We start from the raw sequence: 24,604 nt of genomic DNA on the forward strand, positions 1-24,604 counted from the left end.
CGAAGTGCTGGGATTGTGATTATGGGCGTGAGGCACCGTGCCAGCTGATTTTTTTTTTTTTTTTTTTTTGAGACGGAGTTTTGCTCTGTCTCTTGGGCTGGAGCGCAGTGGGGTGATCTCGGCTCACTGCAACCTCCACCTCCTGGGTTCAAGCAATTCTCCTGCCTCAGCCTCCCGAGTAGCTGGGATTACAGGCTCATGCCACCACACCCGGCTAATTTTTGTATTTTTAGTACAGACAGGGTTTCACCATGTTGCCCAGGCTGGTCTTGAACTCCTGACCTCAGGTGATCTGCCCGCCTCAACCTCGCAAAATGCTGGGGTTACAGGCATGAGCCATTGCGCCCGGCCTTCAAGCCGCTCTTAATTGGCTGCACTGAGCGCTGTGGTGGACACCAGAGGGCGATAAATGCTCATTTTGGAGAAAAGAGTGATGAGGTTTTTGGTTTTATTTATTTTTTTCTCCTCTTTCTCTTCATTTCTGTTGGTAAAAGGAATGACTTGGACACAACTAACTAGTGCATCTCATAGCCCTAAAGTAGCAAATATTGTATGTGCATTGCCTGCAGCGTAAGCAGTGAGGAAACAAACCCAGAGAGGTGAAGGTCACATGTGCCCAAAGTCACATGTTGGAAAGTTACCAGAGCAAGGACTTGAGCTAAACCATGTCTCACAGAGGAGGGCAGTGCAAACATGGCAGTTTTCACAGGGATCATCCTGGAAAGTGGTGTCCCTGTCTTCCCGCTAAGGTCTGTGTGGCCCTGCCAGCTACTCAGAATGCTCTCAATATGAACATGAATTCAGCCAGTATTGCTCCCCGGATTGCAAACTCAGTTCCCCATGGGAACCAGGCAGGTCACAAAAATGAGGGAAGCAGGCTAGATGAGCCATAGGCACAGTGGGGACTGTAGCCAGCTGGAGGTCATATGTCGCAAATAAAGAGGTCAGCCACAACTCAGGTCCATCCGCTGTGGCCCCGTTGGAAGGCACAGCAGGAGGCTCAGATGTCCCTATCCCTATACATCTAAAAATCAACATAAAATTCCCCAATTTTTAAATGCTGGCCACAAATTCAAAACTTTTTCAACTCAACTAAGCCTTGGCCTTCTCAACTGTATAAGGGAGAGAACGTCTACACCATCAGCTTCTTGGGCCACAGGTGTGTTCTTTTAGATCTCAGGCCTGATTCAGGGAAAGATCTCCCCACTGATATAGTGCAGCTCCACCGAAGAACAGCTGTGAGAGTTCCCCTTTCTGCAGCACCTCCTCATCCATCTCAGGGGCTTATGAGTGCAGGCATACATTGCTTTTTATTACGCTTTACAGATAACGTGTTTTTTACAAATTGAAGGTTTGTGGCAACTGAACTGAGCAAATTTGTCCGTGCCATTTTTCCAACAGTATGCACTCACTTTTTGTCAGAATTTTGGATCAATTTTTTTTTTTTTTGAGACTGAATCTCTCGCCCTGTTTCCCAGAGTGCAGTGGTGTGATCTCGGTTCACTGCAACCTCTATCTCCTGGGTTCAACCAATTCTCGTGCCTCAGCCTCCTGAGTAGTTGGGATTACAGGCGCCCGCCACCATACCCAGCTAATTTTTGTATTTTTAGTAGAGACAGAGTTTCATCATGTTGGCCAGGCTAGTCTCATACTCCACACCTCAGGTAATCCATCCACCTCGGCCTCCCAAAGTGCTGGGATTACAGGCATGAGCCTCCACACCTGGCCAGGATCAACAGTTTTTAAGTAAGGTATGCACATTTTTTAGACATGCTATTGCATACTTAATAGACTATGGTGGAGGGTAAACATAACTTTTACATGCATTAGGAAACCAAAAAAATTTGTGTGTCTCACTTTATTGCAATATTCGCTTCAGTGTGGTGGTTGGGAAAGGAACCTGCAACAGCTCCAAGGTGTGCTTCTATCTGGAGACTGAAAAAGCGCTGCCCAGAGTAGTCCCCTTTCTTCTGCTTTGCTCTTCCAAAAATCCCTCCCTAAAGGCGTGGCCGATGGTCTCCAATGTGATCCGCTGGGGTTCAAGGAGAAAATAATAGGACTGCTTTCTGTTTATTTTATAGATATATATATACAATATTTTAAATAATTATCATTTAAAATTTTTGTTTTTTGGCCAGGCGCAGTGACTCACACCTGTGATCCCAGCATTATGGGAGGCCGAGGTGGGTGGATTGCCTGAGGTCAGGAATTCAAGACCAGCCTGGCCAGCATGGTGAAACCCCGTCTCTACTAAAAATACAAAAAAATTAGCTGGGCGTGAGTGAAACACACCTGTAATCCCAGTTACTTGGGAGGCTGAGGCAGGAGAATTGCTCCAACCCAGGAGGCAGAGGTTGCAATGAGCCAAGATTGTACCACTGCACTCCAGCCTGGGCGACAGAGTGAGAATCTGTCTCAAAAATAATAATAATAATAATAATAATAAATAAAATAAAATATTTGTCTTTGTGCATAGTTCATATTATGCAAAATGGCTAATAAAATAGTACATACATATCTATTATAAACAAATGACATATATTGGGATGTATATAACCCTACCATGGGTTTAAGCTGATGCCTAAAAAGAAAAATAAACGGGTAGAACAGGGAATTTGGGGAGGGGGGGACATGATTTAATAGTTTCAAAGACTTACCCAAGTGCCACAGTTGTAAGATAAATATAAATAAGCTTTAGAATATGTAAAGTGCTACGCAAATGCTAGTTATCAAATTAGTTAAATATATTTAAATTAGTTATTTTACAGCTTACTTTTAAAACGGTGGCTGCCATTATTAGTGTCGTAGTTGCTATGGCAACATGGCAATGTACAGGGGCTAAAAGCCCCCTGAAGAGTAACCCCTGGACCTTCAGATGTAGTAGGCGGCAGGGCAGGATTTGAGCAGGGGCCTCACTGATCTTTCTGAAATGACTGAGACAGGAACAAATCAATGGCTCAGTGTCTTCTGTGGGAACTCAGCCCCTGTCCTCAGCTACAACCCAGCTATAATGGGCTTAGAGTTCCAATCCCCTTTAAGTGCTTTGGAGAAAAAAATAAAGGTCGGTGGTCCTGCTGAGCCCATTCAAATGCAGGAATGACTGTGTTCAGGAATAGAGAAATGGAAACAGAAAGTGTGGGAAAGTGCTATTAACCACTTCCTGGCCTGAGACTCGGCAAGAGGACAGAGGATAGGGCGGGGTTATGCCAAGCAAGTGCTGGAGCCCAGCTTTCTGGGGCCAGCCTTCTTTCTGTAAGCAGGAAGCAGGGTCCCTTCAAGGCCCTGGGGAACCTCCTTGATCCAGTGCGAGCTTTTGCGATTCAGTGTTGGGCGCTCACTGGGTCCCAACTTGGGCCTTTCCCCTAGGGCTCAATTTCAGGAACTGAAAATTGGGTTAGCTATATATAAGCTGCAACTTCACTTTCCTCCATCACTTGTTAGTTGTATGACTTTAGCATCTGAGTGCTCCATTTCCACATCTTGGGAATGGGCCTCATAATAGTATGTGCCTCACTGGGTTGTTGCTATCAGGATTAAATGAGTGCAATTTTTAAGTTTGTAACTTTAAGGAAACAGTGCAGGTTTAGGGAGGGAAGTGCTAACTCTATTCTGAGGACTCTTGAAGAAAGATCTTAAGACATCCACTTACTAGGCCAGGCGCGGTGGCTCACGCCTGTAATCCCAGGATTATGGGAGGCCGAGGTGGGTGGATCACGAGGTCAGGAGATCGAGGTCATCCTGGCTAACATGGTGAAACCCAGTCTTTACTAAAAACACAAAAAAATTAGCTGGGCGTGGTGGCACACACCTGTAGTTCCAGCTACTCACAAGGCTGAGGCAGGAGAATCACTTGAACCTGGGAGGCAGAGGTTGCAGTGAGCCGAGGTCGCACGACCACACTCCAGCCTGAGCAACAGAGTGAGACTCCATCTAAAAAAAAAACAAAAAAAAGACATCCAGCTACTCAAGACCAGTTGTCCACTGCTGAACTTCTTATTCATTTGTGCACAAATGCTTGTGTGATACATACTGTATACCATTTTTTAAAACAATCAATTGAGTTTGAACTCTCAGCTCCCATCAGAGAAACCCTCCTCCAGTCATTCTGAGGACTCGCTTGGGGCAGATTGTATTTTTCACAGATGGCTGCAACAATATCTCCTTTCTTGAAAACTCTTCTAGAATTTTGTTACCCCCTGGTTAAGAAAGAGACTATGTACCCTGCTCTTGAACCAGGGCCTTGGTGACTGCTTCTACTAATAGGATGCAAAGGAAGTGATCCTATATGACTTCTAAGGCTAGGTCACAAAATGCCATGCACTTCTAAGTGAGTCTTTGTTCTTCAAAACCGGCAGCCAAATTATGAAGAAGCTCAAGCAACCTGTGGAGCAGCCTCATGGAGAGGACCAAAGGCCTCCACAGCTCTGGCTGACCTCCCAGCTGGCAGCAAGTGCCAACTTGCTAGGTGTGTGAGTACACCATCTTGAAAATGGATCCCCAACCTCCAATTGAACCACCTGACATTGCGTAGAGCAGAGATAAGCCGTTGCTGCTGAGCCCACCCCAAACTGCAGATTTATGGGCAAAATAAATGAGTGGGATGGTTTGTTACATAACAGTAGGAAACAGATACCCGCACTCATTCTCTTTACCTTCCTCCACCAGAGATGTGCAAAAGTCTTGGGGCCTTAACCTAGGCCCAGACACTAACAGGGAACTGGCCCCCATGTTCTTGCCTACAAGTTCTTTGAAGTCTCCTGCTCAGCTGTTCATCTTCCACCTTTGGGGTGGGGGAATCTTCTGAGAGCCTGGCAATCCTATAGCCATACCTCTCTGAGGTCTTGCCACACCACCGTCTTCCCCATCTCCAAGTTGGCCATGGATATCTTCTCTCAAGGCTTTCTAGGGTGGTTCTTCTCACCCCTTTTCCCACCTCCAGAACTCCTGGCTCCACCTCTAGAATGGACTAGAGGTAGAGTCTCACTAGAAGTGTCTGCGCTTTCTGCCTGGCAAAATGCCCAAGGTGAGTCATGACAAAGCTTGCCTTCTGCTGGAAGAGAGGGGATAGGGACAATGCTGAGGGAGCCAACCCAATGTGATATTTCAGTGAATGACTCTGCTATGGTTTGAATGTATTGGAAACTGAATCCCCAAATTCATATGTTGATGGTATTTGGGGGTAGGGCCTTTGGGAGGATTAGATAAGGTCATCAGGATGGGGCCCTCATGATGAGGACTGGTAGCTTTATAATAGGATGAAGAGAGACCTGCGGTGGCATGCCCTTGCCCTCTCACCATGTGATGAGTCAGTAAGAAGGCTTTCACCAGATGTAGCCTCTCAACCTTGGAATTCCCAGGCTGCAGAACTATACAAAATAAAATTCTTTTATCGATTACCCAGCCTATGGTATTGTGTTATAGCAACAGAAAATGGACTAAGTTAGACTCAGATGCACATCTACTCAACAACTGTCCCTTAAGCTTCCAGGCATGTGCTAGAAGCTGGGGAGACAAGGCCAAATGGCAATGTCACCATAGACCTGGACAAGAGGGCACCTGTGGCCACCCAGAGCCCACACCTGACCTTGATCATGCTTTGGGTGTTTAAAAACCTAGACTGCCTATCCAGCCCAAGCCAGTTTTTTTGTTTTGTTTTGTTTTGTTTTGTTTTGTTTTGTTTTGTTTTTTGAGACAGGGTCTTGCTCTGTTGCCCAGCTGGAGTGCAGTGGTGCAATCTCAGCTTACCGCAACCTCCGCCTCCCTGGCTCAAGCGATCCTCCCACCTCAGCCTCCCGAGTAGCTGGGACCACAGGCACACGCCACCACACCCAGCTAATTTTTGTAGTTTTTGTAGAGACAGGGTTTCATCCTGTTGCCCAGGCTGGTCTTGAGCCCCTGAGCTCTTTAATCCTCCTGCCTCAGCCTCCCAAAGGGCTGGGATTTCAGGTGTGAGCCACTGTGCTCAGCCCCCCAGCCAGTTTTAAGGTTTACAAAGCTGCCTGCCCAGGTCCATCCTCCTGAGGGTACATCCTGTCCCTGGAATGTGCATTCATAGAGAGGTGACGAAGAGGTGGCTGTAGGCAAGGCGTGTGGGCAAAGTTTGGGTGTGTGGGCTGGAGTATCCACATGCCTGAGTCCTAGGCCACTTGTGACACAAGACAGAGATGGAGTGTGAAGAGAAGTGGAGTGGGTGGGCTGAGGGCTAGGGCCAGGCTATCCTCCCGCACTGCCATGTTCTTGCATAAAATTCTAAAGAGTCCAAGAATGCTAAATTTGAACATGGTCTTCCTGGTCATTAGAAAGAACATTTGTCAAGGCAGGAGAATACACATTTTATTTCACAGTCAGTTAAATGTTTAGATACAAGGTATCTGGTCCTTGATTTGCACTCTTAACTTGGGCTCTCCATGTTCGGGCAGGTCAGCATAACAGGACCAGTGCCCAGGCCCTGCACTCCTACAGGGAGACACTCTTCTGTGGGACTCAGACAATGACAGGGAGTATGGCAGAGATTCTAGAAGCTGCCTGAAGACTGCTCTCAATGTCACCACAGCTGCCTCTATCTCTAATCAGGAGTGGCAGGGCAGCAAGGGATAGCAGATGGGACTAATATGAGAGAATGTCTTCATGGGGGGAGGGGACAGTGAGGGGATCCAGCTGTTTTGCCAATGGCCAGTTCCCATCTGTCTGCTGGAGCCCTATTAACTTCAGTAGGGATGGTACTAGGTTCAAGAGGCTGAAGGAGAGACCAGAGCCAGCAACTGGGACATGGGGTTTTATTGGGAAACTTACACACAGGGACGGCCGGTGGCAGTGGGCTGGACAGGAGAACTGTACAGTCCCATGGCAGGCTGGGCAGGAGAGCCACAACCGCTTACAAAAAGCATGCAGTTTATACATCACTCTCACTTAGCACCCTCCCCCTAACAACCCCCACCTGATAACCTTCATTTGGCCCCAAACAAAGAGCTTTGAACCCCTGTACACCCTGCATTCCACAGGATGGGCCGGGGTTCAAATGTTCCTCACAGATAAGGAATGAATCTCCAGGTTGGTCATTCCCGGATTCCTTAGCTCAAAACTCCAAACACACATTGGGGTGCATCTGCCATACAGGACCATTCTCAGGGTATGCTTAAGTCAAGTTATTGCTGTCAGGAGCATCTGCCATACACCATCACAAACACCCCCAGCTCGGAGGGAGCGGGGTGTGGAGTAGGGTGGAATAGGAGGAATTTTATGCCCATTTTGCATGGGCTGGGTAGGGTAGGGATCTGAAACCCAGCCCAAGACAGAATGGCACAGTGGTTCTCAAAGTGTGGTCCCCGGACCAGCATCCACATCATCTAGGAGCTTGTTAGGATCTTAACCACTTGCAGGATAGAGGGTGTCTCTCTGCGGGTATGACACACTGCTGGGTTTAAAGGATTCTCCAGCCTCACTTTTCTGACTTGGTGTGGGAATGCTATGAAGGAGACTTTTTGCTGAAAAGAGAACATTTTCTGAGCATGTACGGCATTCAAGCGGTGGGCCAAATACTTTATGAATGCTGTCACATGTAATCTTCAACAGCTACCATCAAGATCGGTATGATTGTTATGGCTCATTTTATTATTATTCCCTGTTTAAGGGCTCATCCCAGAGGTTAAGTATCTTGCCTTGTCCTGGGTTTAAAACGCAACCAGGAAGCTACCTAGGTCTGTGTGATTCTCAGACCACCCTGACTTCTTTACAGTTTGCTCAACAGTGGTTCATGCTTGAATGTGATTCAGAATCACCTGGAGGCCTTATTAAAACCAATTGTCCCACAGTTTTCCATTCAGTAAGTTGGGATGGGGCTTCAAAATACGCACTCCTAACAAGTTCCCAGATGATGTTGCTCCTGGTTCAAGGACCACGCTGTGAGAACTACAGTGCTGGGCTGGGATCCAGCTCCCGCCCTTACTCCACTCGTACAAAGCGCTCATAATCATACCCTCCCACAACGGTGTGTTGTGAGAGGACATTGTGATAATGGAAGTGAAAGAGCTTTGTCAGCTGCACAGGTGAATGCCCCTGGTCATTAACCAGGTAATCTGCCTGAGGCTAGTCCTCTGGAGCCTGGGAGGGCAGAGGGCTGGGACGCAGGGTGGGCACCGCAGCCACCTAGAGAGCTCTTGCAGCCCACCTCAATTTTGGGCCACTTTTTCTTCAGGGAGAAAGCCAGCTTTGAGGGCTTAGGCCCACAGCCCCTCCTGCCACTATTCTCATCAACCCACACCTCCTCCCTCACCTCAGGCAGCTGCTGGGCACTGCCCCAGCACTGGTTGTTCTGGGCTACTTCCCCAGGGGCCAGTCCAGGCAAGCTGGGGCAGCTCAAGCCTGTGACTCAGGACCTGAGGCTGGATCCCGCTCACGCCCGCCTCCATGAGATTCAGAGCCCTCGACTTCCCTTCTCTGAGCCTTAAACTGCGCATTAGTAAAATAGGCGCAACGAGAGTACCCATGAGTTGTGGGAATTCAAGGGCTAGAACTGTATTCAGCGCTTGGCATAGAGCCTGGCCCCTGGCAAGGATTCAATCAATGGTAGTCAGTATTTTCAAAAAGTTCCTGGGCCCAGGCCGCCTCCTGATAGAGGCCCCGACTTAGGACACAAACCGCTCCCACGCCGTTCCCCGGCGGCACCCGGATACACCCGCCCTGGAATGCCAGCGTGGGGGCCCCAGGGCTACCCGCCCGAGATGAGAGGGGCAGGGCAGGGCAGGATTAGGAAGGCGCTGAGCCCAGGCTGGTGCGGGGAGGGGCGTGGCCTCACCCTACTAGGGCCGGGGGATGGGGTGGGCTCGAAGGAGAAAGTGAAGGAGGCGGGGGCGCTGGGAGGGCCCGGGAGGAGACCGGGAGGACGAGGTAGGCGGGAGCTGGGCGGGACCGTTAGGCAGCGCCGTGAGTGGACAGGGCTGGAGCGGGGCGGGCTTAATCCCCAGTGTAACCTGGGGGCGGGGCTGCCGGGATAGAGGAGAGACTCCGTAGCGGGGCGGGGCCTCAGCTCCAGCTGGGCCCGGGGGCGAGGCTGGTTGGGGTACGGCCATAGTGGGCGGGGCCTGGCCGGCGGGAGCGCACCGCCTTCCCAAAGGGCTCGGGGGCGGGGCCGGCGGAGGGGGCGTGTCTTCTGGGGGCGGGGCCTGCCGAGTCCGCGGCGTTCCCCGGCTGCAGCCGGGAGGGGGCCGAGGAGTGACTGAGCCCCGGGCTGTGCAGTCCGACGCCGACTGAGGCACGAGCGGGTGACGCTGGGCCTGCAGCGCGGAGCAGAAAGCAGAACCCGCAGGTGAGCAAGGGGGCAGCGGGCCGGGGTAGCCTGCCGGACAACCATAGGCAAAGTTAGTTTTAGCCCCCGCTTCTGCGGTCCGGCTCGGACAACTTTCCTCGGAACTAGTGACAGGTCGGGGCAGCTGGTGGGTGAAAAGGAGCTTTAGCCACCAGTCCTGAACCCCCAGTTCTCACACTCGGCCGTGCACAGCTGCGTGATCCTGGGTCCGTCCCTCTACCTGGCTCTGGACCTCCCGGGTTCCAGCAGGAGGAAGTGAACCAGGTGAATTCCACGCTCCCGTTGCCCTTTCTCACTTAAAACGCCGGAAGGTGAGAGCTGGCAGGTGAGAGCAGGCTGCAGGTCGCCACAGGTGTTCCCATCGCGTTGCCCTCTGCAGTTTCTCTCCCTGCAAAATGGGACTGAGAGAAGCGAATTGCTTTAAAGAGTGCACTGTTTCCTCGGTTGGGGCTCGAACCCACCAACCCTGGGGAAGAGGAGGCCAAAGCAGGGAGGTTCCATTTCCCGCCTCACCTGCTTCCCACCAATTCTAACAGTTCAACTGAGCCGGACCCCCTAAGACTTCAAGTTGGAAACTCAGTGGGGCTTTTCCAGGTGAGCTGGCCTGAGCAGGAGGTTGGAAACTGGGGAACAGTTCTTACACTGGTGAGTGGGGAAGAGAAGGGAAAACCCCACCAATCCTTGGGCCCAGGGTCAAGCCCAGGGCCCCAGGGGCCCTTGAAGCATACCCGGGGTTAATTTCTTGGCTGACGGGTTCTGTTCCTGGAGGTGGTGGGTGCTCTGTGCTGGGCCCCAGTAGCGGGGCAGCATAGTTCTGTGGTCAAGGCTTGGGCTTTGGGATCAAACTGATTTGGATTCCATTCCCCCTCCAAACTTCAGTTTCCTCACCTGTAAAATGGGGATAATGACAATATCCAATAGCAGGAGCAAGCACTAAATAGAATAATGTGTATACACTACTTAGCAAGGTGCCAGGAAACCAGTGAGACCTCCCTCTGTGACAGCTGCTTTGATGCGGGTGGGCAGGTGATGGGCTTGCTTCCTATGGGGAATGAGCCTTTTTTTTTTCTTGGAGAGATGGGGTTGGCTACAGCCCCTCCTGACCTTGTGAAAGCCAGAAATTGCCACCTGCCACCAACATCACTCTATTTGAGGGATGAGGACTGTGTCATCTGGAACAAAGAGTGGCTGAGTTTTCTGTAATGTTGCTTGAGGTTGGTAAGTGTTGAGTTAAATAAGTCTAAAAATGTTTACTGAGCACCTACTATATGCTAGAGAGAGCTAGAGGATACAGAGGTGAACTAGCCAGGCCTGAGTTGCTGACAATGAGGGCTCCCCCATCCCTACCATGTCCCTGTAGAGAGGATCAGTCACACCCAGGGCTTATAACCAGATGAGATTTCATGGGTCTGTTCTGCCCTGGTGGCTGGAATCCAGCTATACCATTGCACACTTGGCTTGGGATGGGGGCGAGGGGCAATGTGGGCACCCGATATCTAAGCAGGGTTGGACACTGAAGGACGCTGAAGGTGCTGCATTATATTGGCTCCCTGCATCTTCTGGGAGATAAGCTGTACAGTATGGAACAAACTGGAAAGTGCTGTGGGACAGAGACGGACTGGCGGCTGCGCTGTGTGCAGGAGACTGTGTGTGTATGTAGGGCAGGGGGAGGTGTTCAGAAGAGTGAGACACTTGAGAAGCCAGGGCAGGGGGTGGGGGTAAGGAGGCTTCCTGGAGGGGGTGAGACTTGAATAGGACTTTCTCTCTGGGCTCCTGGTCCTGGTTTGGCTTGGATCAACATGGGACCACAGTCTCTTCAAGCACTGAAGTGGCATAAATTGGAGTTTGGTATGGTGGGGAGGGAGAGGGTCTGGTAGGTGGTGCCTGAGGTGGGGAGGAGGAGACGTTCATTTCAACAGAGCCTACCTAGTGAGCCTTAATGGAAAGCCCTCCCCACCACCACCCCCACTTCCTGCTCGATGAATGACAAGCGACCACATAAGGCCTGCACCCTCAGGTTGCTTACCATCCGGGAAGGGGCTTACACAAGAATACCAGGGACTCTGATGGAAGATAAATGAAAAAAGGATTAGAGGGATCTTCAGGGCCTTACAGACTGGGAAGATTTCGGCAGCCAGAATGAAGATAGTGTCTTGAGGAGAGGAAAATGCCTAGGCAGAGGCAGGGAGGTCAACCTGTCCTGAGAATTCTCGAGAAACCTCTAGGTTGCTCATTCTGGCTGAAGTTTGGGAACGTGTGGGGATATGCAGTGGGAATAGTAGGTGGGATCAGCTTACGGAGGGCCTTGAATGACAGGATAAGAACTTTGGATCTGATTTGCAGAAAGTGGGAGCCACTGAAGGTTTCTGAGGAGAGGAGTGACACAACAGAGCAGCACTTTAGGAAAGTCAGTCTGTACCAGATGTGCTGGGGTGGAGGATCCAGCGGTCAAGGGATAATGAACCAATGGCTGCAGTGACTGGGAAGAAGGGGTCTGGGTGGCTTTGGGGATGTCTGCAACTGGGAGTGAAGGAAGAGACACCAGCCACAGGGAGAGCAAAGGCACCATTGGAGGGGTGGGAGGGGACTGTTCCAGCACATTTGCACTTCTTTCTCCTCCCTATCCTGTCTGGTACATAGCAGGGTCTCAGGAAGGTGGCTGGATTGGGTGAGTGGCGGGGTTGCTGGGAGGGTGATGAATGCTACAGAGGGGTTTGCCCATGAAGGGGAGGCATCTGGGCCGAAAGGTGGGAGCCTGTGCCAGCCAGCAGTAAGTTTGGGGGTCGGGGGCGGGATGGTTAGAAGAAGTGCCTGCTGATCCCTCCCTCCCATCCCAGCCCAGGGAGGATAGGGGTGAGAGGTCAGCCATGTGCTATCTCTGGCAGTGGGTGAGCAGTCAGGGCACAAGTTTCCCACAGTAGGGGGACTGGGGCAGGATTTTGGCTTCCCTGGGCTCCTCTGAAGTTTCCGCTATGTGGGGGCGGCCCCCTCTGTCTTGAGGCCTCACGCTTTAGAGCCACAGCCTGGAAGCTCCCACCGGCCATCCCCTTCCACCCTGGGGACCCAAACCTGTTCCCCTAAGGACCAGACAGTCCTCCCTCAACCCATGGCTGAGCAGCCCCAAGTTCTGAGTGTTGTTTCAGATTCGGAGCATCTGGGGCCAGCTGGCACCCCTGATTCTGGCTTGACCTTGGCCTTGGCCTTCTGCTCCAAACCGTTATACCCACTTCCTCTGCCCCATGGGAAGCTCACAGGGGGCGGTTATGACTTAATCAAGAACATCAAACGGCCAGGAGCTGGCTCTGTGAGAGGTGGGAAGGGAGGGAAGAGCCTGGACTGTTTGGCCTGGGCCCCTCTGTGGGACAGGACCCGTTTAATCTCAGCAGGAACTGCCCTACCCACCCGCTTCCCCTCCACTAAGCCGGGGTCTGAGGAGCTGGGAGGGGAAGCCCAGAGGTAAACATGGAGTGAGTGGTGTGGGATGTGTTGCTCCCCTCGCCCCTGATGCTGCCCTAAGAAGAGGCAGACAACCACAGACCCGGGGCCTCTGCAACAGGCCCAGCTGGTGTCTCTCGGAGGCTGGCTGGTTCCTGACTCACCCCCGGGCTTCCCCTTCCACTGTGGTTTTCCTGTCAGCAGCTGATTCACTGTGCTGACATGGACAGGCAGCTGATGGAGGAAAGAGACCTGTGTTCTGGTCCTTGGAGTTGGCTGCTGCTCTGCTGTGTGTATGTTGTGTGACCTTAGATAAGTTCCTTCTCTCTGGGATTCCTTCCCTGACTTGCTGATGCCCCATTCTTTCCTTGGCTCTCGGGGAGTTCTGGGACCTGGGATCTATCCTTTGCAAAGTAGGGCATGTCTGTGAACACCCACCCATACTCAGGCATGCGCACACACACAAATACAACCCCAACACAGAGGAGCTGGGCAGCTCCCCTCAAAGAGCACTTGATCCTACCTCCCTATTTTTACCTTGTTTCCCCCACCTGAAGCACCTTTATCTTCTTTCTGCCTGTTAACAGATTAGGGAGATGATGGTACAGCATGGCGGTAAAGCACTGGACTTTAGAGTTGAGATCTCGGCCCTGCCAATTTCTGGCTACGTGACTCTTTCTGAGCCTCAGTTTTTGAACCTGCAAATGGGGATAATAATGGTCATGACTTCATAGGTCATGAGGAGAAGACAAAAAAGTGCACATGAAATGCTTAGTATTGTTATACCTAGCACATAGTAAATGCTCAATAAAGGAGAGCCATTGTTGTTTGCTGTATCTGGTTGGTCTTTCAAGGCTGGTGCCAGGCTCCTTCTCAGGCCCCCAGGGACACTCCCAGAACACCTTCCTTCTGCACAGGGCCTCTGTGCCTCTCCAATATGTGTGTGCCCCAAGACGCCAGTCATGTCTGGCTATGTGGGGCTCTCTGGCTCTTCCTGGGGGTGGCTGGGTCTCCTCACTGTGACGCTCAGCTTCCTGAGGGGCAGTAGGTCTGAACATCTCTGGCTGCCTTTCCCAAGCCCCTCATTGCCCTTCACCTTCTCCTCTGTGCTTGGCTGCCTTTCCCAAGCCCCTCATTGCCCTTCACCTTCTCCTCTGTGCTTGTCTACACTGTGTACCCTCCTCTTTGATCCTGCCACTTTGTGGTGTATGATGTGTTTCCATGAGCTCTCCTGGGCAGGCACTGCCCTGTCCTGTCTGTATCTCTGATTCCTGGCATACAGCAGGCACTTGGGGATCGATGACTGAATGAATAGGTTAGTGGTTCTCTTGGGTGAGGCCGGGGGTATCAGCAGTACCTAGCTTGGTACCACATACCAGGTGACTCCTTGGCAAAGTGGAGCCGGGAAGCAGGACCTGGATGCCACTGCCTGGTGCTTCAGGCCTGTGGGCCGCACTTCTGCAACCTGGATCCAGGGAGATGGGAATGCACCGTCTGTCCTGGAATTGCTTTCAGCAGAGCTTCTGCTTCTCTTCCGATGCCTGGCCTTTATTACCCTCCTGAGAGGGGAACAGCATGACTTCCTTCAGTCCTAACCCAGGAAGGGGCCACTCTGGCCTTTAGTGAACTCTGACTCAGCCAGAAAGAGCATCTTGGAGTCAACAATTGTTTGTGGAAGGTGCTGCTATCCTGTGGGGACTCAAGCTGGGGCCTGGAGAAATGGGACGGTGGCCTCCAGGAAGCCCATCCTGGACATCATCCATGCAGACCCCCAGGTGGGCAGCTCTGGGAAGCCCCACTCTCCCCTCTGACCTCCTACCCTGCAGCAGAAGCTTTTGCCTCTTCTCCGCCGCCCCACCCCGCAACTTGACTTTCCCTGCTGTGTGGAAGGGTGATCTGGTGTGGGAGTTGTTCAGAGTTCTGGGCCTTGGCTCTCAGTGTCAATGTGGAGAAGTGAACAATGCCCTGGTAGTTGGGCATTAGGAAGCCCGGGTTCAAATCCTGGCTCTGCCATGGAGCTACAGCATGACCTTGGCCAGAGAGGTGACTTCTAGGCAGGTTTTCTTCCTTTTAGGCAGCAAGTGTTCCAGAAGCCTTCCTGAGTCCCAGCTGGGCTTGGGCCTGGGGGAGTGGGGAAGAAAGCCTGGGCAAGATCACAGACTCTGGAATCAAATTGCCTAAGGATGATTCCCGCCTCTGCTACTTACCAGCTAGGCGTGACTTTGTGTCTTACCGCTCTGTGCATCAGTTTCAGCATCTATAAAATGGAGACAATAATAGTACTCATCTCATAGGGTTGTTTGAGAATGATATATGAGCTAATGCATATGAAGCATTTAAGACAGCGCCTGGCACATAGTTAGTGCTATATATGTTCCTGCTGCTTTTGGTAGTGTTTTATTTTTATTTTTATTTTTTTTTGAGACAGAGTCTCACTGTATTGCTGAGGCTGGAGTGCAGTGGTGCAATCTTGGCTCACTGCAACCTCCACCTCCCGGGTTCAAGTGATTCTCGTGTCTCAGCCTCCTGAGTAGCTGGAATTTCAGGCATGCACCACCACACCAGGCTAATTTTTGTATTTTTAGTAGAGATAGGATTTCACCATATTGATCAGGCTGCTCTCAAACTCCTGGCCTCAAGTGATCCTCCAGCCTTGGCCTCCCAAAGGGATTACAGGCATGATCTACTGTGCTCGGTGTTTTTGGTAGTGCTGTTAATAGGAAGCAGGATGTAAGTCTTTGAAGAGCTTGAGTCTGGAGATCAGGGGACCTGGGCTCCGTTCCCAGCTCATCTTTTACTTGCTGTGTTATCTTGGGTAAGTTATAGCCCTTCTTGGGCTACAAAACTATATTATCTTGCATTTGCTGCACTTGGCTTTTGTAAGTGAGGCACATGTGATGCCACAGTGGACGGCTGCAGGGTTTTATTCAGGGGAAGGACTCCTGGGGGCCTGGCTTATTCTCCTGCAGCCTAGGAAGGAAGGAAGGCTGTAGTGTGGGCAGGTCCCAGCTGCTGCCCTAAAGCATTGCAGAGACTGAATGGCAGAGCTGCTCCCCTACAACTCTACTCTATCAGGCCAAAATACAGGCAACTACATGTAACGTACCCGTTACGAAATACAATTATATAGATTAGATTACAGACCTTTATTATCTTTTTACTTTCCCCTATTTTCCAAATCTACAGTGAGCCCATATTTTTTTATGCTCAAGAAAAAACCCATTCATACAATGAAGCTATAAAAAACATACCACACATATTTGAACAAAAATGTATTATATGAACTTGGGATCATATTGAAGTTCTTTTTGTGAATAAATCATATTTTTTTCGAAGGAGGGATGGGATGTTGGTTTGAAGTGAATATCAATTTGACAAGCCTCAGAAGACTTGGAGGGAGTGCCTATGGTAGGAGCGTCCATTGTCCGCAGCCGCCCAGGCTGGGAGACAAGAGTTAGATATGAATAGGAGTGTAATCCGCCTTCCCATGCGGTGGGCACACCCTGAGCGTTGGGTGGTGTGTAGAAAGCTTTTGAACAGTAGTTGAGATCAAGTTCCTTAATGACCATTCTGAGCCTCAGTTTCCTCATCTGTGAAATAGGGATGGGCTGCTGTGAGGGTTAAATGAGCTAAACACATATTGAATATGGAGCTCTAAATGGAAGCCGGTGGAAGAAGGTGGCTTTACATCTGGGGTCCAGAGGGCTTGCTGACTGGCCTGTCCTGGACCTGGCAGAGTTACCCGTCCCGCCACAGGACGTGCTGGACAGGAGGCAGCCTCCTGCAGGACCAGGTAGCAGGAGCAGAGAACAGCCCAGACAGAACTCTCCCTGCGGGCAATTTGGCTCTGCGAGGGGCGGGGCCCCACTGAGTCTGCCCTATGTGTCTCTAAGACGAACCAATCATAAGCCTCCCAGGGCGTGGCGTGAAGCGGGGATTTGGTAGGGGAGCGCAGAGCGAGGCCTGAGGTGTTTCCCTGGCAGAGGTCCCTCCACTGGGAAACAAACGGAGAGGGGAGTATGTGTTCCCACGTGTACACATAAACCGTTTTGAATGATACCTGGTATGACGTAAGCACTCAATAAATGTTTGTTGTTGCTGATAATAACAATTGGTAAATTATACTAGTACAGTTGGAAAACCACCTCCCACTCACTGTCTTAAAAGGTGGAATATAAGAATGCTTTTGCAGTGGGACCTATGAGACATCATCGTATATAGAGGAAATAGAAACTTGGCAGGGGAGGTTTGATTTATCTGAGGTCATGGAGCAAGTGGGTGTCTAGGCCTTGAGTCACCTTTGGACATGTAGATAGCCCACCTCCCTGACCCCTGGCCTTTCTGAACACACAGCAGTGGAGTAACTGAGGCAGGGAGGATGTGTCCTCTACTCTGAACTAGTCACTTATTTTCCATCCGAAAGCCCCTCTTATCTGCTTTCTCTGCCCCACACCCTCTCCTGGCATGGTTGAGCAAGTCTCCTTGTTTGCCAGGAGACGGTATGGCATGGCACTGTGGTTCTCAAAATGTGTGCCTATCAGGAATCCCTAACCATCCCTGCAAGTTGCAGTCAGGGAAACACTGGGGCTGTGCCTACAGCTTGGGGTTCTAGCTTCTCAGGCATTGATGTCAGCCAGGCCTAGCTATGGGCACAGTGTCTGTTCACCTCTGGGCAAGTTTCTTGGCCTCTCAGAGTCTTGGTTTTTATGAGGATTAAATGAGATAATGCTGGTAAAATGCTTCGTGGCAGGCCCAGGGAAGAGTGCACCCTCAATGAAGCCAGAGGTTAAGGGTGGTGATGATGAGCAAAGGCTGCTCCTGTCATTACTTCTGGGGAAATGATAGGGAGTCTTCCTGTCCGAAGGCTGAGGTCCCTGATCTGGAGTGAGGGAGCTTTCCGGGGTTGCTTGAAGCTCTGCTGGGGGGTCAGCAGAAGACTTAGATTCTCTGTAGTCTTGGTCCCCAGACTATCTGAACCCAGCCTTGAGCTGGGTGCTCTTGGCATAGAGTTGAGGGCAAAGTTGAGGGCTTACGTCTAGAGTCACAGGATCTTGGTGTTGTGAGAAGCTCTGTGGTCCATCCAGTCAACCTACCTGCCCAGTCTGATCCCATGGACCACATCCAGCCTTTGCTCGCACACCTCAAGGCTTGGAAAGCTCATGATTTTTTATTTCTGGAAAGAACTGACTCTTAGAAAATAGGGGATAGAATCTGAGCAAACCCACCCACCCTTGGCTTCCCCATTTTGATCCTGATCTTGCTTGTTGGAATTACACACAATGTGGAAACACCCTGGTGGGACCAAATCTTGTAGCAGAAGACCCCAGGCCAGCGATTCTGACATAGGAAGGAGATTTTTCTTTTAAAAACTTTATCTAAACCAAATGGCTACCCCAAAAAACCCCCCAAACTTTCTGATTATTGAAGAAAGAGGGTTTTTTTTGTGTGTGTGGAAAAATTCAGGCGGTAAAGAACAGACCTGCAGGAGGAAATAACTGCTCAGAGATAACTGCCGTGAGCAGTTTGGTGTTTTGGCCTTAAAGACACACACATACAAGATTGGGATTGTACCACACAAACCACTTCCTGCACTGCCACTTTTGACTGAGTGCTGTATAGGGAGGGTTTTCCCATGTGATTGAGCATTCTTCTCCAGCAAGTTTCCCAGCTCTGTAGTATTGCACCATAGGAATCTTCTGTGACCTGGTTAAGCATTCCCCAGCCATTGCACATTTAGGCCCTTTGAATTTTTCATTAGTATCCACATTGCTATAATGATCGCCTTGTCCCTATGTATATTTTGTACTCAACTCTAATGAGCTCCATGGAATGAATTTCTAGAAGTGGCTTTCCAGCTCAGATGGTTTTTAAACTCAAGGTCAGAGGACCAGAATCTCCCACCATAACCAGTCTCCCAGTTTCGCTTCAGCCCTACTGGTGGGGGAGCGTTCTGTCTGTCCCTGGTGCTAGTTGGCCTACCCACAGGAGGAGGAGGAGCAGGCTTTTAGGGTATGTGTATCTGTGAAAGAGAAGGAGATGGAGAAAGGCAGATAGATATAGGGGAGTGTTTTCTCTTCAATTACAGTCTGATTTTGACCCTCTCCTCTCTGGGAGCCTGTGGTGTCATTAACTAATCATGGGCTCTCTTTACTATTTAATGACCTCTCCCCACAGTGACTCCTTCCTCCCCAACAGTCTCCTGGAAAGGAGGAGGTGGGAAGATGAGTCAGTGGGGGAAAGTTTCTCCAGAGTAGGTGGTGGGTGTTGCAGTGGTTCTCAAACTCTGACATGCATCAGTCCCTTGGATGGCTTATGAAAGCACAGATTGCTTGGCCCCACCCCCAGGTTTCTGATTCTGTGGGTCTGGGGTACTGCCTGAGAATGTGCATTGCTAACACGTTCCCAGGGGACGCTGCATCTGCTGGCCCTGGACCACACTTTGGGTACCAGTAAAGTAGTGGGATGGGGCAGGGTGGGGTTCTGTGGTGAGTTTCAGCTCCTGGTGTTGCTGACAGTAGGAACCTTGTCCTGTTTAATAAAGGCTCATCTTGTGAGGCCTGAACTCACCTTCCCCTCCTACCCCCACCTCACCACCCCTTCTCCCATGTGTCCTTTGTATATATTGGGAACTTTCTGTGCAGGAGGACAAGAGGATTATCAGCATCCCCGTTTTACGGAAAAGAAAATTGAGTCTCTGACAAGTGACATGCTGTGTCTAAGGATGTTGAAAGTAGGAGGGCTAGTACTGGAACCCTGGCGCTGTCACGTTCCCCACCTTGACTTCTCCAGTGCAGGTCTGGTGCGGAAGCAGAGATGCCTTCCCTGAACACTGCACCGGCCCCAAGTGAGAGGCCTGGGGAGGCAGATTCCTCCACACCATCTCTGCGCTAGGATCTTGCTCCACTTCTTATCCCCTGACTGACACTTCAGTAACGTGATCTTCTTCCAAGGTCTAGTGTTCTCCAGCAGTTTATGTTCCCAGTTATTGTTCTGGGCAGGTTTTCTAGGAAGCCAGGAACTTTCTCCTGTCAAGCCTGGGCTTCGTCTGGCAGGCACAACAGAGGGAAAAGAGAAAAGCCTCAGTTGTTGAGCATCTAATGTGTACCAGGCCCTGTCCTGGACACTTTGCAGCCATAATGTCAGGTCAGCCACCCCAGGTAGGGGTTAACATCAGGTCCCATTGTACAGATGAGGAAACTGAGGGTCCAGGAGGTAAAACAACTTACCCAAGTTCACAGAACTGAAAGGGGCAGAGCTGGGCTTTTGATTTCAAACTCAAGGCTGGGGTCTGGTCTGGGATGGCAGCAGGTCCTGTTCTGGAGGGAGCCGGGATGTGGAGTAAGCAGCCTCTGCCCCACCCGCCATCCACGCAGAGACGGTCAGCCCAAGGGTCAAAGCTCTCTTGGGATTCAGGGTCTTGCAGTGGGAGGGCACTGGCTGGTCACCGGGAGACCCCTTTCAAATCCTGCTCTGCTGCTGCCTGGCTGTGTGGCCTGGGGGCAAGTCACTGCCCAGTTTGGGACATCTGAGTCCTCCTTTCTCATAATGATCCCTTATGCTTTACAGCTCTTGGCAGTGGACATTTTCTCATGTACTTATTCTCCGTCCCTCAAGCCTTCCAGCACCCTGTGAAATAGGGCGGGCATTATTACTAAGCCCATTTTCACAGAGGATGAGGATGACAGGGCAGGGAGTTGCCCAGGATCCCGTGGGCAGTTGAGGGATGGTACAAGAGCTAAGACTGGAACCTGGGTTGTCTTTGCTGCCCATCTTGAGCCCAGCCCCTAAGACGGGAGAACTCTTTCTCTCTATTCTCAGCCTTAGGATGAAGGATCCCAGAGCTCTTAGCTGGGCTGGTGGGTCCTGGGTACAAGGGGCCCAGGATCCCAGGAAGGGCTGGCCTGGGATCTTCGCTGTTGGCCAAGAACCCATGGGGAGGCAAGATAGGGTAGTCCAGGCTGTCTCTGTTTCTGACTCCTGCCCAGGCCTTGCACGTGAGGTCCTTGGTGCTGTGGGGAAGGAGGGGTTCAGCCCAGGTTTTCCTCCCAGCTCGGCTGCTTGCTTCTCCTGGGAACTGTGCTTGTCCTCTAAAATGTATCATGCAGAATTTTCCAGACTCTCACACATGGGTGCCTGGGCCCTGCAGTTTCACCTGAATGCCATCACTTCCTCCTGTCTTCCTCATTCTTCTACACCTGGCTCCAGCCACCTTCTTCCCTCAGGGAAGACTTGCTCCTCTGGCCAAGCCGACTCAACTCTCTCGGGTTCTGTGCAGTGGGTGAACTGGCTGACCGGGTTGGTTAACTCCCCAGTGAGGCATGAGAGCAGGGCCTGTGGCTGGTGTGGGTCCAAGCCCCTGCAGGGTCTGGCAGGGCATGCAGCTGAGTCTATGCATGCTAGGGAAAGGTTAGCCTCAGACCTGTAACTCTCAGGCTTGTGACTTTCAGCAAGTCACTTATCTTCTCTGAACCCTGGTTTCCTTCGTCGAAAAGTAAGGAAGCTACTTTCCTCGTTGATAGCTTCTGATACTTTTAGGAGATAAAGTGCAAAACATCTAGCACTGGTGCCTGGGGGTTCATGGTACTCAGGAAATGCCAGTCCCTCATCTTCCCTGCAGTGGGCTCAGGCTATGTTCTGCCTCCACCTACCCCAACCCGCTTGAGTAGGGCGCCGGGTTGGGCCTTGGCCTAAGGCCTGAACTATAGGTAGCTCTAGGTAGGGGGTGTCCTCGGCGGATAATGGGCCAAGGACTGGGCACAGGGACAGAATCAGCTGATTTAATCAGACTCTGCCAGTTCCAACTTGTGACCCTCCCTGGGCACGTTACTAACCCCCCTGAGCCTCAATTTCCAGATCTGTAGAAAGAGATACTCTGTCTCCTGTGTTCTCAGGATCACACATGATCGGCAAACAGGAGACCAGGGGATGGGGCCCAGGCGACCTGAGGGCGGCCTCCCAGGAGGCTTGGGTCAGGCCAGTGGCTGCTTATTTACATATCAATTTTCCTACTGGGGAACAAATAGTCCCCTTTTCCTCTGGACACCCAGAGGCTCTCCAGGCCCATATCTCTTAGTGCAGTGCCTGGTTTGCTGGGTCGCCCAGGGAAGGAGGCAGCCTCTCTCTGAGCTCCTATATTCCTGTGGGAAGAGAGCCAGGGAGCCAGCCCAGGTGTGAGGCCCTGCCTGGTTCTGTCTGAGACCACGATGGTGTTGCCACATGTCCCATGCCTGGCCCCTGGGGACAGACCCCTTCCTATAGCGCCTAGCACCTTTCCTTCTCACCTCTGTCTGTACATCTATACACCCCCCTTCCAGCTCCATGTGGCCCAGGGCCTTCTCACGGCAATAATGATCACCACACTTCCCTTTATTGTGTGTTTTGCTACTCAAACCACACACCTCCCTCTAGGACAGGAATGAACCGTTACTACTCAGAGAGGGGAACTCGCCCAAGGCCCACAGCTGGACTCACTATCCTCTCTGCCTGCCCCAGCTCTCAGTGGATGTCAAATTCTTGGCTAAATCCATCAGCAATGGAAAGTTGGTTGGCCCTGGGAAGAGGAGAGGCCGGCGGATGGCTAGGTCCAGGACTGGACCAGGGGGGATGGGGTCCCAGATTTCCACCCTGCATTAGGAGCTGGCATAGGGACTGTCCCCACTGCACAGATAGGTAAGCTGAGGTTTGGGAAAGGGGAGTGATTGATCACAGCCTAGAGCTGGCTGGGCTCATTCCCCTTCTCTCTTCCTCCCCATGGCCCTGAGTTGCTCTAGTGGAGGGGATTGGATGGGGCTGTTTGGGACCCAGATGTTCATTTTGTCTTAGCCGCTGCCAGCTGAGGTCAGGTCCCTTCTGTCTGCCTCAGCTTCCTTAGGGGGCTCAGAATGGCTGGACCAGAGCACTGCAGTGCCCTTTCTCATCATAAAGACCTGGCCAGCAGCCTGCTCAGGAATCACATTTGGTGGGGTAACAGGCTTTTTCCCAGGGCACAGTGCCGCCACTCCTAGAATATGGGGGAGGCCAAGGCTGAGAAAAATGTGCTGGGGAAGGGTCATTGTTAATGGGAGGTAGAGAGGGGGCAGGGTGGGTGAGGCTAGAGGGTGGGCCCATTCCTTCGGAGGTCACAGGGGAGGCAGGACATGCAGGGCAACCTCTGGGGTGGCCCCAGAGCAGGAGCTGGGAAGCTGGCCTGGCTCCAGGGGTGGGTGTGGGATCCTCCTGGGTCAGCAGGGCCTGCACTTCCAGGCCGGCCTCACCGCAGGCTCCCCTAGACTTCCTGGTGAGACCTGACAGGGCCTCAGGGTCTGCAGGTTGGTGCTCCAGGGGACCAGAGGCTCCCTTCACCCTTGAGTCTATCTGTGTCTTAGTCTCTCTGTCCCGGCCTCTCTCACTCCCCGCTCTGTACCTTGCTCTGCCCAAGCCCCTCAGCAATCTCAGAGGAGAGGCCCAGGGAGCCCTGGGGAGGGAGCCCTGACAGGCCCGGTTTCCTTTTGTTACCAGTGTTCCTGCCAGAGCTGCCAAGTGTCTGGGCTGGTTAAATGGCCGCTTCCCTGCCTGGGAACCAGGGGCCCTCTGTGGGAAGCACAGCCCCTTTATTCCCAGCTTGGCAGGCCCAGATCTCCGCAGTAGACCATGGAAGTGGGTCTCTCAGGGCCACCCCTTGCAGGAGCTGGGCTCCCGTCATGGAGAGGGCTCAGTACGCTGGAGACTGGGGCCTGTGGGCTGGGTGAGGTTGCCTCAGACACTCTGGGTATTCCAAGGCTCTCAGGATGTTAAAGGGAGAGACTTGGATGATCACAGAAACAGGGAGTGACAAGGAAGAGGGGATGGCTCCAGGGAGCCACAGACAGAGATAGGGACCCTCACAGAAGGGAAGAGACAGGTGAGGGAGAAGAACTTCAGAGAGGGCTGAGGCCCCACAGAGCCCTGCCCTGCCCTCTCCTTCTCACCTGGGCTGAGCTGCCTTCAGCTAGCTCTCAGCCAAGAAGACTCCCCACCCCCAAGTTCTTGTAGTTAGAGACCTGCTTCTACCCTCCACACCGGCCCATCTCTCTGTGTTTTCACCCAAGGATCTATGGAGACAGAGTCCCTGTACCTATGTGCATCACTTTGCCTTCACTCTGTCTCACTTACTCCTCTCTCTGCCCATCAAATACTCCTAAAGGCCTGCAGAGTACTGAGAACTATAGCCTTGGGAGGCAGGAAGGATTAGCCCATTGGACAGATGAAGGAACTGAGGCTCGGAAAAGTTAAATGACAGTTAGGAAAGGGTAGACAGGCCAGGCGCGGTGGCTCACGCCGTAATCCCAGCACTTTGGGAGGCTGAGATGGGTGGATCACTTGAGATCAGGCTGGTCTATGTAGTGAAACCCCGTCTCTATTAAAAATACAAAAATTAGCCAGACGTGGTGGTGTGTGCCTGTAATCCTGGCTACATGGGAGGCTGAGGCAGGAGAGTCTCTTGAACCCCGGAGGCAGAGGTTGCAGTGAGCCAAGATCATGCCACTGCACTCCAGCCTGGGTGACAGAGTGAGACTCTGTCTCAATAAAAAGAAAAGAAACAGTAAACAGAACCAGGGTTTGAATCTATGTCTGTCTGATTGTCTATCCTAAATTCTCGTGATGAGATAATTAGGGCTGCCATATGGTGTTGCCTGAAAGTCTGTGCTGGAGAATGTTTTGGAAAGGCTGCCTCGAGGATGTGGCATTTCAGCAGCCCTGTGTCTACCTTCCTGAGCTCAGTGCCTGGGGAGGGGAAGGCATGATGTGACAAAAGGTTTGCCTGTTGCCATGTGGGGTCCCTGATTAGAGTCCCCCTCCCTCTCTCTAATCACCCTACTCAGGGCCCACACCCTTTTGTTAGCCACC

The 24,604-nt window shown here is 51.7% G+C and overlaps 1 protein-coding gene across 6 annotated transcripts in view, besides 11 other annotated features; it reads left to right on the top strand.

Annotated features, from left to right (window-relative positions):
• Nucleotides 273-322: a silencer, noted in NCBI's record as "silent region_3274". NCBI's record gives its function as "represses an Ori minimal core promoter by ATAC-STARR-seq in GM12878 lymphoblastoid cells {active_cell/tissue: GM12878}" and the evidence as "EXISTENCE:reporter gene assay evidence [ECO:0000049][PMID:35858748]".
• Nucleotides 2,731-3,367: an enhancer, noted in NCBI's record as "OCT4-NANOG hESC enhancer chr11:44580713-44581349 (GRCh37/hg19 assembly coordinates)". NCBI's record gives its function as "activates a minimal SCP1, AML or CMV promoter by ChIP-STARR-seq in naive and primed H9 embryonic stem cells {active_cell/tissue: H9 hESC(naive and primed)}" and the evidence as "EXISTENCE:reporter gene assay evidence [ECO:0000049][PMID:30033119]".
• Nucleotides 5,403-5,904: an enhancer, noted in NCBI's record as "H3K4me1 hESC enhancer chr11:44583385-44583886 (GRCh37/hg19 assembly coordinates)". NCBI's record gives its function as "activates a minimal SCP1, AML or CMV promoter by ChIP-STARR-seq in naive H9 embryonic stem cells {active_cell/tissue: H9 hESC(naive)}" and the evidence as "EXISTENCE:reporter gene assay evidence [ECO:0000049][PMID:30033119]".
• Nucleotides 5,905-6,404: an enhancer, noted in NCBI's record as "H3K4me1 hESC enhancer chr11:44583887-44584386 (GRCh37/hg19 assembly coordinates)". NCBI's record gives its function as "activates a minimal SCP1, AML or CMV promoter by ChIP-STARR-seq in naive H9 embryonic stem cells {active_cell/tissue: H9 hESC(naive)}" and the evidence as "EXISTENCE:reporter gene assay evidence [ECO:0000049][PMID:30033119]".
• CD82 (CD82 molecule) overlaps nucleotides 7,977-24,604 on the top strand; it is a 55,950-nt gene continuing 39,322 nt past the window's right edge. For 2 of the 6 annotated variants that reach the window (NM_002231.4, NM_001024844.2), the window contains exon 1: nucleotides 9,231-9,304. Coding sequence is in view for 1 of the 6 variants with exons in the window: in XM_047426900.1 (XP_047282856.1) it covers nucleotides 8,050-8,070 (21 nt within the window). In the remaining 5 variants the exon portion in view is untranslated. Of the gene's footprint in view, nucleotides 8,071-9,230; nucleotides 9,899-24,604 lie in introns of those variants that run through there. The other 4 variants (XM_047426904.1, XM_047426900.1, XM_047426901.1 and 1 more) reach the window with 4 other exon arrangements.
• Nucleotides 8,730-9,329: a silencer, noted in NCBI's record as "silent region_3275". NCBI's record gives its function as "represses an Ori minimal core promoter by ATAC-STARR-seq in GM12878 lymphoblastoid cells {active_cell/tissue: GM12878}" and the evidence as "EXISTENCE:reporter gene assay evidence [ECO:0000049][PMID:35858748]".
• Nucleotides 8,730-9,744: a biological region, named in NCBI's record as "H3K4me1 hESC enhancer GRCh37_chr11:44587226-44587726".
• Nucleotides 9,244-9,744: an enhancer, noted in NCBI's record as "H3K4me1 hESC enhancer chr11:44587226-44587726 (GRCh37/hg19 assembly coordinates)". NCBI's record gives its function as "activates a minimal SCP1, AML or CMV promoter by ChIP-STARR-seq in naive H9 embryonic stem cells {active_cell/tissue: H9 hESC(naive)}" and the evidence as "EXISTENCE:reporter gene assay evidence [ECO:0000049][PMID:30033119]".
• Nucleotides 10,250-10,319: an enhancer, noted in NCBI's record as "active region_4654". NCBI's record gives its function as "activates an Ori minimal core promoter by ATAC-STARR-seq in GM12878 lymphoblastoid cells {active_cell/tissue: GM12878}" and the evidence as "EXISTENCE:reporter gene assay evidence [ECO:0000049][PMID:35858748]".
• Nucleotides 12,626-12,675: an enhancer, noted in NCBI's record as "active region_4655". NCBI's record gives its function as "activates an Ori minimal core promoter by ATAC-STARR-seq in GM12878 lymphoblastoid cells {active_cell/tissue: GM12878}" and the evidence as "EXISTENCE:reporter gene assay evidence [ECO:0000049][PMID:35858748]".
• Nucleotides 12,856-13,045: an enhancer, noted in NCBI's record as "active region_4656". NCBI's record gives its function as "activates an Ori minimal core promoter by ATAC-STARR-seq in GM12878 lymphoblastoid cells {active_cell/tissue: GM12878}" and the evidence as "EXISTENCE:reporter gene assay evidence [ECO:0000049][PMID:35858748]".
• Nucleotides 20,960-21,009: an enhancer, noted in NCBI's record as "active region_4657". NCBI's record gives its function as "activates an Ori minimal core promoter by ATAC-STARR-seq in GM12878 lymphoblastoid cells {active_cell/tissue: GM12878}" and the evidence as "EXISTENCE:reporter gene assay evidence [ECO:0000049][PMID:35858748]".

This window comes from Homo sapiens, chromosome 11 (genome assembly GCF_000001405.40).
Source record: "Homo sapiens chromosome 11, GRCh38.p14 Primary Assembly".
NCBI lineage: Eukaryota > Metazoa > Chordata > Mammalia > Primates > Hominidae > Homo > Homo sapiens.